The 12,084-nt window shown below is 53.1% G+C and overlaps 1 protein-coding gene across 11 annotated transcripts in view; it reads left to right on the top strand.

Annotated features, from left to right (window-relative positions):
• DOCK6 (dedicator of cytokinesis 6) overlaps positions 1-12,084 on the top strand; it is a 63,230-nt gene that overhangs the window by 28,704 nt on the left and 22,442 nt on the right. For 2 of the 11 annotated variants that reach the window (XM_047439124.1, XM_011528151.2), the window contains exons 22-29: positions 455-618; positions 4,431-4,523; positions 4,786-4,881; positions 6,344-6,484; positions 10,715-10,828; positions 10,916-11,086; positions 11,573-11,712; positions 11,801-11,970. In XM_047439124.1, the coding sequence (XP_047295080.1) occupies positions 455-618; positions 4,431-4,523; positions 4,786-4,881; positions 6,344-6,484; positions 10,715-10,828; positions 10,916-11,086; positions 11,573-11,712; positions 11,801-11,970 (1,089 nt within the window). The other 9 variants (NM_001367830.1, XM_011528150.2, NM_020812.4 and 6 more) reach the window with 7 other exon arrangements.

Below are 12,084 nucleotides of genomic sequence, written 5' to 3'. Positions count from 1 at the left end.
TCGGCCAGGCTAGAGTGCAGTGTCACGATCATAACTCACTGCTGCCTTAAACTCCTGGGCTCAAGTAATCCTGTTGCCTCAGCCTCCCCAGGTAACTGGAACCACAGGCGCGCACTGCCATGCCCGGCTAATTTTTTCATTAATTTTTTTGTAGGGACAGAGTCTCGCTATGTTGGCTGGGCTGGGCTTGAACTCTTGGGCTCAAGTGATCCTCCTGGCTCGCCCTCCCAAAGTGCTGGGATTATAGGCATGAGCCACTGTACCTGGCCTATTCTCAGTTTTTCAGTGCCCCCCCAATCTCTGTGAGGCGGCAGCCATTATGCCTATTTTATAGATGAGGAACTTAGAGGCTCAGAGAAGGAAAGTGATTTTGCAGAGATTAGCTGAGTAGGAAGGGACTGGGAGGCATCACATCAGGTGGGTGGGTGGTTGACCCTATTCACTCCATCCTCAGGGGCCCCTCCAGTGACAGTGCAGGCTGCCACACTGGCCCGTGGCTCTGGTCGCCCCGCAAGCCTCTACCTGGCGCGTTCCAAGAGCATCAGCAGCAGCAACCCTGACCTCGCCGTGGCCCCTGGCTCTGTGGATGACGAGGTTTCCCGCATCCTGGCCAGCAAGGTAGGGCAACGGGGGCCCTGGAATCTCCAGCCTCAGTGGTTGTGGTTGCCACGTGTGTGGGCGAAGAATCTGTTGATGAAGCATGGGAAACAACAGAGACGACAACGTGAATGAAGGCGTCACTCTGGGCAGCAGAGTTGGGCTGGGCTGTCACAGGTTGTGGGGTATGGATCAGACTTTGTGTTGAGCTCTACTCCGTGACTGACCCGAGGATGGGTGGCGGAGCTTGGCGTGGCTGAACAAAGAGCAATATGTACCTAGTGTAGCAGGTGCATATACACATTCACCTCATGCATATACCTACACAGGTGCATATACACATTCACCCCCCATGCATATACATACACAGGTGCATATACACATTCACCCCATGCATATATGTACATGGGTGCATATACACATTCACCCCCACATGCATATACCTACACAGGTACATAGGCACATTCACCCTATGCATATATGTACATGGGCACGTATACGTGTTCACCCCATGCATGTGTGGACACAAGTGTGTATACATATTCACCCCATGCATATACAGACACGGGTGCGTATACACATTCACCCCATGCATATACTTACACAGGTGCATATACACAGTCATCCTGTGCCTGTATGTACCTGGGTCTGTATACACATTCACCTGATGCATATATGTGTACGGGTGTGTATACACATGCACCCCATGCACAGACTTACAGGGGTGTGTATGCATGCACCTGTGGACCCACATACACAAGTTATGTAAAGGCATGCACCCAATGGACCTATATACACGTGCACATTTTTCAGGATTGTGTGTAGGTGCACATGTGGGCACATGTATGGTCCAGAACCATGTCCACGCTTGGTATTTCATGCTGCTTTCCCTGCCCTCCACTGGGGATGCTACCACTTCTCCGTGTATCTCCAGGGCATCGATCGCTCACACTCCTGGGTGAATTCCGCTTATGCTCCAGGAGGCAGTAAGGCTGTGCTGCGGCGGGCGCCCCCTTATTGTGGGGCCGACCCCAGACAGGTGCCCTTCCTACCTGTCCCTGCACTCATGTGACACCACCTCAGCATGAGCTCCTCCCACCTTCCTGGCTGCATCTGACTAACCTAGGGGGGCTGCCTGAAGGAGGTGGCAGACCCCTCTCCTGCCTTTGTTTGGGGCTGTGAAGTCTGTGTTTAGGTATCACTGGGTCATCCTAACTGGCTTTTTGCTGCCACATAGGCCACAGTCTCAGATGGAGACAGAAGGCACAGGGGTAATATGCAAATCGCATGCAAACGAAGTGCAAATCCAGTCACCCATAACCTCACTGCCCTGCATGGCCTGTTCACCTCCCTTTAATCCACCCCTGATGATGGGACTCTCAAAGGGCTGGAATGGAACCTCTCGGCTCCCCTATCCCATTTTAGACAAAGAGCTCCCCTTACCCTGCCTCTTTCCAGGTACCTGGTGTAGGGGGACGCTTTGCCTCCAAACAGACCTGGGTTCAAGTCCTAGCTCTGCTATGAGCTCACCCCATGCTCTGAGCAATTGGATGCATCTTCCTGAGCCTCAGTTTCTTCATTTGTAAAATGGAGATAACACTCCAAATTTTCGGATGCAGTTTGGACTCAAAATATAGTGCTCCCCCAGCAGTCCTGAGCCTGTGCTTGAGTTAGGGCTGAGGGCACTGCAGTGGGATTTTGTTGGGATGATAGATTCTTGGTCTGGCCTTGACCCTGAGCTTCCAGCTAGTTGGGGAAATAGACACGGATCAAACAAATGCATAAGTATATGATCACACAGCGTGGAAAGGAAGCAAGTAGCAACCGAATACCAGCTTCCCTCTGGGTGGTCTTGGGGGCTTCTCCAGGGGAGTGACATCTTTTGCTGGGACCCGAAGGGTAAGATAGAGTCAGCTAGGGAAGGGTGGGTGGGTGTGGGTGTTCAGGAAGAGGGAAAGGCATGTACAAATATTGGGACCAAGGTCAGAGGACTGTACGCACAGAGAGGAGGCCACAGGGCTTGCTTCCTTACACACTTGGCCCTAGGGCCTATTCCAGCTCTGTGCCCATCACCAAGGTAACCTGTACCCTATGACAGGCCCAGGGGACTCCTAGCAGAACAAGCAGGGGGGGCCTTTGGGCAGTCATTTCCTTGGATTGCTGGGAATCTGGAAATCTGGGTGACACTGAGGCTGGGCCTTTTCAATGGAAGGCCCTCACGGTGCACAGTGAGTTGCCAGGGTATGGCTGGGACTGGGGTAGCTAGAGAGCCCTCAAGTGTCAGAGTAGGTCCCAGGGTTGGGTCGTCTCTGTCATCAGACCTCCTGTTCCTGCGAGCAGCCTCACCCCCTAACCAGCGAAGGAGGAAGCGAGAGTGGAGCTTGAACTCCTCTGCCTATACCCATTTCACAGATGGGGATACTGAGGCCCAAGCCAGGCTTGGGCAGGGCCAGGCCTGGAACCTTGGGCTCTCTCTGCTATTCCTGGCACCTCACCAACATCTCACCTCCTCTGTCCTTATCTTCCTGCCTTGTCTTTCTCCTCCTTCCCCATCTTGTGTTTAACCTCCTCTGTCCACACTCACCCTCCTCCACCTCTGCATCCTCCTCTCTGTCCTCTAGACTCACTGACTCGGTCACACTCTACACCTCGTCTACACTCACCCTCACCTTCTCTGGCCACACACATTCTTGCTGTCTACACTGATTTCATCTCCTCTGCCTTCACCCCACACACCATGTACCCATTCCCAGCCTTCGTGTGTTCTCGGTCCCACTCCATCCACACTCCTCCTGCCTGTTGTGGTTGCACTGCTGTCACTGGTCACTGGCGTACTGTGTTTTCATTGTTATTCTCACCTCCTCCATCACGTTCTTTTTTTTTTGAGACGGAGTCTCGCTCTTATCACTCAGGCTGGAGTGCAATGGTGCAATCTCGGCTCACTGCAGGCTCTGCCTCCCAGGTTCAAGCGATTCTCCTGCCTCAGCCTCCCAAGTAGCTGGAATTACAGGTGCCTGCCACCACGCCCAGCTAATTTTTGTATTTTTAGTAGAGACGGGGTTTCACCATTCACCATGTTGACTAGGATGGTCTCGATCTCCTGACCTCGTGATCTACCTGCCTCGGCCTCCCAAAGTGCTAGGATTACAGCATCCTCCTTTTTTTTTTTTTTTTTTTTTTGAGATGGAGTCTTGCTCTGTCACCCAAGCTAGAGTGCAGTGGTACCATCACAGCTCACCGCAACCTCCAAGTCCCAGGGTCAAGCAATCCTCCTGCTTTGGCCTCCTGAGCAGCTGGGACTACAGGCACACGCCACCAGGCCCAGCCATATATATATATTTTTGTTTGTTTGTTTGTTTTTGTCTTAGTAGAGTCAATGTCTGACTATGTTGCCCAGGCTGATCTTAAACTCCTGGGTTTGAGCAGTCTTCCTGCCCCAGCCTCCCAAAGTGCTGGGATAACAGGTATTGAGCCACCCCGCCCAGCCTCACGTTCTTCTCCCATACCCACACACCTTGATCTTGACTCACCCAGCTCTCTCCAGCGACTCTTTTATTTGTCCCTGCCTCCACTGCCCCGTCTACTCCCACAGCACCCTGGCCATTCCAACCAGCCTCCCCTCCCAACCCACGCCGGCCCATCTCTCTTTCTTGCCTGTCCCCATTGGCATCCATGGCCCTGGTCCATCCATGTGGAAGCATTTCTCTCTCTATATTCACACTAACCTACCTCTTTTCCCCATCCCTGTCTGTGTGAACACGTCTTTCCTCCAACCACATACCCCTTCACCTCATCCACACTAACCTTCTCCTCGCCATCACATCCCATCATAGGCCATCGACTGCAACTCTAGCCGAGCCTCCTCCTACCTCGAGGGTTCCTCCTCGGCCCCACCAGCCACCCAGCTGAGACCCACTGTGCAGAAGGTAGTGGGGGGAGGTGCGGATGACGCTATTTTTGTCCTGGTCCCCAGCAAAGGGGTCCAGTGCTCCTCCCCCATCCAGAGTCCAGGGGGGTCTGGCGAGCCCAGGGAAAGGGCACTTCCACTCCTCTTGTCCCCCTCCTCCTGCCTGGCTCCTGCTGCACTAACCCCGAGCCCTCCAGCTGCATCTTCCCCTGGCATGTCTCCAGAGGGGGTACGGGAAGGGGTGGCACCTCGCACTCTGTGACCCCTGCCTCTGTCCCCAGCTGCTTCACGAGGAGCTGGCTCTGCAGTGGGTGGTCAGCAGCAGTGCCGTACGCGAGGCCATCCTCCAGCACGCCTGGTTCTTCTTCCAGCTCATGGTGAGACCCCCTCCTCCCTGCCTGGTGGCAAGAGACCCCCAGTGGAGCCCCTTCCTTTTTTAAAGAGAGAAGCCCCCTGGCCAGGCATAGTGGCTCACACCTGTAATCCCAACACTTTGGGAGGCCGAGGCGGGCGGATCACGAGGTCAGGAGATCGAGACCATCCTGGCTAACACGGTGAAACCCCGTCTCTACTAAAAATACAAAAAAAAATTAGCCAGGAGTGGTGGCAGGCGCCTGTAGTCCCAGATACTCGGGAGGCTGAGGCAGAAGAATGGCGTGCACCCAGGAGGAGGAGCTTGCAGTGAGCCGAGATCGTGCCACTGCACTCCAGCCTGGGCGACAGAGCGAGACTCTGTCTCAAAAAAAAAAAAAAAAAGAGAGAAGCCCCCTGAAATTGCACCTGAGATATTTGAGAAATGGCCCCAAGAGACCCCCCCCCACAACCTAGGGAGGTGAGAGGCACTTAAGGTGGTGTCTCCCTGGAGAGACTGTACCTGAAACCACCTTTAGAGAGAGCCACCCTTCCCCATGAGACTCTTTAAGGAGAGAAACCATTAAGAGACCCTCACCTAGACAGGAGACCTGCATCCTGCAGGAGATATTCCTGGATAGAGAGAGAAAGCTGTGGTCAGGCACAGTGGCTCACGCCTGTAATCCCAGCACTTTGGGAGGCCGAGGCGGGTGGATCACTTGAGGTCAGGAGTTTGAGACCAGCCTGGCCAACATGGTGAAACCCCATCTCTACTAAAAATACAAAAGTTAGCCGGGCGTAGTAGTGCGTGCCTGTAATCTCAGCTACATGGGAGACTGAGGCAGGAGAATCGCTTGAACCCAGTAGGCAGAGGTTGCAGTGAGTCAAGATTATGCCACTGCACACCAGCCTGGGTGACGGCAAGACTCCATCTCAAAAAAAAAAAAAAAAAAAGAGGGAAAGCTTTCTGATCAAGGTAAGACACATCCCTAAAACTCTTCAATAGGTTATTTGAAGCCTCCTTCCCAGGGCCTGCTGGCTGCATCCCCTCTGGGCCTCCAATAAAGCTCCCTTCAAATCCAGTGCCTCAAGCCCCACCCTTTGTCCCACCTCTGACTTGCCCTGGGGAGACCCGCATAAGCCCCTCCCACATCCTCTCAGCCTTCCCACTCTCTACACTTTGCCTGGGATGCTCACAGGATCTGCCCACGGCTTTCTTAAGCCCCATCCATAGGTCACAAGCCCCACCCACATCCCTCAGGCCCCAGCTTCTACCTGCAGCTACAGGGCTCAAACCTACCTTCAGCCCACCTCCATTGCTAATAAAGCCCCGCCCCTCCTGTCAAGCCTCCTCCACCCACAGCCCTTCAAGCCCCACCCACAGTCCTTCAAGCCCCACCCACAGCCCTTCAAGCCCCACCCACAGCCCTTCAAGTCCTACCCACAGCCCTTCAAATCCCACCCACAGCCCTCTCACCCCACCCCCAGGTGAAGAGTATGGCGCTGCACCTGCTGCTTGGCCAGCGACTAGACACACCCCGCAAGCTGCGCTTCCCCGGACGCTTCCTGGACGACATCACTGCCTTGGTGGGCTCTGTGGGCCTGGAGGTCATCACCCGTGTCCACAAGGTGAGAGATGCAGGGTCTCAATGTGGGAAGAAACCTGAGGGAGGACATAGAGCCAGCCAGGTGGGGGCGCCAATCCTGCCCAGTGTCTCCTGGCCGTAAGACCAGGAATCCACTTTGCTGGGTGGATCCGTTCATTCATTGTCTGTTTCTTAAGTGCCTGTAACGTGCACAGCCCTGTGCTGGGTGTAGCAATATAACAATAAACAAAACAGACCCAAATCCTTACCCTTGTGTAGCTTTTAAGGGGAGACTTGAAGAAAGTAAGGGATCATTCCATGCAATGTCTGGGGAAAGAGCATTCCAGGCAGGGGGAATAGCAGGTGCAAAGGCCCTGAGGCAAGACCATGCTTGGGCTAACAGTAGAGCAGTAAGGATGGCTAGATTGTAGTGAATGAGGAAGGAAATGAGGGTTGGTGGGAGCGGGGAAGTGACAAGGCAGATCCATTAACCCTTAGCACAGTCAGAGTATACAGCAAGTGCTCAATAAATGGATGTTGATGTTCTGAGACCCTGACAGTGGACTTGTTCAGGCCCTGGATTACCAATTCCAATGCCCTCAGGGGCTAGGCAGGCAATACTAATCATAATAGTAATAATATGGAGCATTTATTGAGCACTTACTGTATATCTAAGCATTTTATGTGGATCGTATCATTTTTTTGTTGTTGTTTTTTTTCTGAGACAGAGTTTCACTCTTGTTGTCCAGGCTGGAGTGCGATGGCGCAATCTTGGCTCACCACAACCTCCGCCTCCCAGGTTCAAGCGATTCTCCTGCCTCAGCCTCCCAAGTAGCTGGGATTACAGGCATGCACTACCACGCCCAGCTAATTTTGTATTTTCAGTAGAGACAGTGTTTCTCCATGTTGGCCTGGCTGGTCTGGAACTCCTAACCTCAGGTGATCTGCCCGCCTTGCCCTCCCAAAGTGCTGGGATTACAGGCGTGAGCCACCGCGCCCGGCCTTGGATCGTATCATTAAATTCTCACAACAACCCATGAAGTTAGTATTATTGTTATCTCCATTTTACTGATGGGGAAACTGAGGCATCGAATGAGTGGTAGCTTAACCTTGTACCACACGACTGAGAAGGGGCAGAATGAGGCTTTTGAATCTGAGCCACCAGCTCCAGACCCCTCACTGTCAATACCAGTTTCAGCTGGGAAAGTGGGGCTTATGGTGGAGCAGAGGGCAGATGTCCCACCTAACAGGGGTGACCATCACTCAATCCAGCCAACAGAAACCCTGCAGGAATGTGGCTCAGCTATGTCCAGATTGGCTGTTTTTGTTTTTGTTTGGAGATAGGGTCTTGCTGTGTTGCCCAGGCTGGAGCGCAGTGGTGCGATCATAGTTCACGGCAGCCTTGACCTCCTGGGCTCAAGGGATCCTCTCTCCTCAGCCTCCCAAGTAGCTGTGACCAGAGGCACAAGCCAACATACTTGGCAATTTTTTTTTTTTTTTTTTTTTTTTTTAGTAGAGTCAGGGTCTCACTATGTTGCCCAGACTGGTCTCCAACTCCTGAGCTCAAGGGCTTCTCCCACTTTGGCTTCCCAAAGTGCCGGGATTACAAGCGTGAACCATGCCTGGCCAGATTGACTGGGGTTTTTTTGTGTGTGGTTTTGTTTTTGTTTTTTTATTTGTTTTTGTTTGAGACACGGTCTTGCTCTGTTGTCCAGACTAGAGTGTGGTGGTGTGATCATGGCTCACTGTAGCCTCAAACTCCTGGGCTAAAGCAATCCTCCCACCTCAGCCTCCAGAGTAGCTGGGGCTACAGGTGCGTGCTACCATACCCACCTATTTTTGTGTGTGTGTGTGTGTGTAGAGATGGGGTCTTCCTATGTTCCCATGCCAGGAGATGGCCTGGTGTCTAAGGAGAAATGGGACCTCTGGATTTGCTGGGAACTTTCCAGATTTTTGAAATGGCGTTCTGGCCCAGGCCAACCCTTACACAATCACATGTGACCTCCAAGCTGGTCTCAAAGGTTCTGGCCTTGTCTCACTGGAGCCTTCCCAAAGACTGACATTCCCAGGGGCTGATCCAGATGGTGAGGAAACTACCCCAAGAAAGAGATCCAGAGAAGAACAATGCCTGTGATAATCCACTTTTTTTTTTGAGATGGAGTCTTGCTCTGTCCCCGAGGCTGGAGTGCAATGGCACGATCTCGGCTCACCGCAACCTCCGCCTCCCAGGTTCAAGCAATTCTCCTGCCTCAGCCTCCTGAGTAGCTGGGACTACAGGGGTGCGCCACCATGCCCGGCTAATTTTTTTTTTTTTTTGAGACGGAGTCTCATTCTGTCGCCCAGGCGGGAGTGCAGTGGCGCAATCTCAGCTCACTGCAACCTCCTCCTCCTGGGTTCAAGCGATTCTCCTGGCTCAGCCTCCCAAGTAGCTGGGACTATAGGCGCCCACCACCACCCCTGGCTAATTTTTTGTATTTTTAGTAGAGATGGGGTTTCACCATATTGGCCAGGCTGATCTCAAACTCCTGACCCTGTGATCCACCCACCTCAGCCTCCTAAAGTGCTAGGATTACAGGCAGGAGCCACCATGCCTGGCCGGGTTGCAGGGATTTGAGGGCCACTGAGGCTAACTTGTGAGGCCTCAGAGTGGCTCAAGAGAGTATGAGGGCAGAACGAATACCAGCTGGGCCTCAGGGCCACATCAGCCACCTCACTGTTCCCCGGACTTGCTAGGCACATCCTGCCTCAGGGCCTTTGCACTGACTGTTCCCTTAACCCAGGATGCCATTCTCCCCATGGCTCTTTGGTATCCTTCAGTATCTCTGAAAATGTCACCCCCGTCTGTTAAGGTTGGTGACAAGTAATTATAGGCTGGGCATGGTGGCTCACGCCTGTAATCCCAACACTTTAGGAGGCCGAGGAGGGCGGATCACCTGAGGTCAGGAGTTTGAGACCAGCCTTACCAACATGGTGAAACCCTGTCTCTACTAAAAACACAGAAGTTAGCCAGGTGTGGTGGTGCGCACCTGTAATCCCAGCTACTCAGAAGGCTGAGGCAGGAGAATCGCTTGAACCCAGGAGGCAGAGGTTGCAGTGAGCCGAGATCGCGCCATTGCACTATAGCCTGGGCGACAGAGCAAGACTCCGTCTCAAAAAAAAAAAAAAGAAAGAAAGAAAGAAAGAAAGAAAAGTAATTACAGTTTTTGCCATTGAAAGTAATTGCAAAACTGCAATTACTTTTGCACCAATTTAATATTGTCTTTGAAGCACATAGAACTATCTGAAATTCTTGTTTATTTTGTGTCTCCCTGCCCCCGCCCCACACACACACACTGGATTGAGTTGGACCCGCAGCAGGGATGGCATCTGCCTCATTCACAGGGATTGGCACAGAGTAGATGCTCAGTAAAGCTCACATTAAATGGTGCTGAGAGGCCGGGTGCGGTATCTCACGCCTGTAATCCCAGCACTTTGGGAAGCCAAGGGAAGCAGATCACCTGAGGTCAGGAGTTCGAGACCAGCCTGACCAATATGGCAAAACCCCATCTCTACTAAAAATAAAAAAATTAGCTAGGCGTGGTGGTGGGTGTCTGTAATCCAAGCTACTGGGGAAGCTGAGGCAGAAGAATCGCTTGAACCTGGGAGACAGAAGTTGCAGTGAGCCGAGATTGTGCCACTGTACTCCAGCCTTAGTGACAGAGCAAGACTCCATCTCAAAAAATAAATTAATTAATTAAAATTAAAATAAAAATAAATGATGGTAAGAGTCGATCAGTTAGGGCAGAGGCTAATTCGCTTCAACACAGTCACAAGTGATTTAAATAACCATAGCTTATTTCTGAGTATTAAGTAGGTTGTAGAGGCATCACTGTGTGGGCCTGGCCCTGGCAGTTCCCCGGCACCCACCTGCTTCTGCCATATAAGTGGCCACCTCACTTTCCCCTCAAATCCCATTGGCCAGAATTGGTCATGTGGTTCAACTGGAAGGGAGGCTGGGAAATATAGTCTCTCCCCAGCTCTGAACTCTGGACAGAGAGAGCGAGAGGATCTTGCAGGGAGTTAGCCCATATCTGCCTTGGTGTCTTAAGGAGCATGGGAGGGGAAGGCAGCCTGAGGAGGACAACCAGGAAGTCCCAGAGTCACCACAGCCCACAGACAAAGGCTTTGGGGCAGTGATACAGCTCCTAGGGGTGGCAGATGATCTTGGTGAGAGCCAAGCCCCTGTCGGGGCTGAGGTTTGGGTGTGTGGGTTGACAGGCACCTGTGTCCCCAGGATGTGGAGCTGGCCGAGCACCTCAACGCCAGCCTGGCTTTCTTCCTCAGTGACCTTCTGTCCCTGGTGGACCGGGGCTTTGTCTTCAGCCTGGTCCGGGCCCACTACAAGCAGGTAGGAGTGGGCGTGGGCAGGGTGGGCATGGCATGGATGGAAGGCGGAGCAATGTTGACATCACTGATGGCCACCCCTCTCCTGCAGGTGGCCACGCGGCTCCAGTCGTCCCCTAATCCAGCAGCCCTGCTGACCCTGCGCATGGAATTCACCCGCATCCTGTGCAGCCACGAGCACTACGTGACCCTCAACCTCCCCTGCTGCCCCCTGTCACCTCCAGCCTCGCCCTCCCCCTCTGTGTCCTCCACCACCTCCCAGGTGGGCTGCCTTCACTTCTGCCTCCTCTCTTTGACCTACAACCTCTCACCTTCAGTCCATCTCCTATGGTTCCCTCATCTCTGTCCCTTTCACGGTGGACCACTGCCTAGGTGAACTAATCCCTTATGTTTGACTTTTGACTTCTGACCCTTCACCTCTCTTGCCATTCTCAGCAATTTCCCAGAAGGACTAACCTCTGATTTCTCTCCCCTAAATCCTAACTCCCAGCCCAGTGTTCCATCTGCTATTTCTCAGTCCTCTGACTTTTGACTCCGTGCCCTGTTACATCACAGATGGGTTAACGTCAGCCCCTCACTTCTGGCCTTGAAACCCATGCCCACTGTCACCTCCAGATGACTTAACATCAGTCTTTCATCTGTGGCTATTGGCACCATGATTTCTGTCACCTCCAAGATGGCTTTAATGGTGACCTGCCACCTCTGACCCTTGACCGCTGGCATCCCCCATTTTTCCCCCACTCTGCAGAGCTCCACCTTCTCCAGCCAAGCCCCGGACCCCAAGGTGACCAGCATGTTCGAACTGAGTGGACCATTCCGGCAGCAGCACTTCCTAGCTGGGCTCCTGCTGACGGAGCTGGCACTGGCCCTCGAACCTGAGGCTGAAGGGTGAGCAGAGCTCCTGTCTAGCCCCAGGACAGGTGGGACAGTCCAGGAGCCATGTCCACCCTGTCCTGAGCACCTCATTACCCCATAGGGCATTCCTGTTGCACAAGAAGGCCATCAGTGCTGTGCACAGCCTGCTATGTGGCCATGACACTGACCCCCGCTACGCCGAGGCCACTGTGAAGGCTCGTGTGGCCGAGCTGTACCTGCCACTGCTATCGATTGCACGGGATACCTTGCCACGGCTGCATGACTTTGCTGGTCAGTGGGCCAGGGGAAGATGGGGTCACATGATCCAGGGACTTGGTCACAGAAGGCACAGGATAGTAAAGGTGGGAGAACACAGTCACTGGTATGAGTATAGACATTAGGATT

Source organism: Homo sapiens, chromosome 19 (assembly GCF_000001405.40).
Source record: "Homo sapiens chromosome 19, GRCh38.p14 Primary Assembly".
Classification (NCBI taxonomy): Eukaryota; Metazoa; Chordata; class Mammalia; order Primates; family Hominidae; genus Homo; species Homo sapiens.
This window is presented reverse-complemented; position numbering and strand designations above follow the sequence as displayed.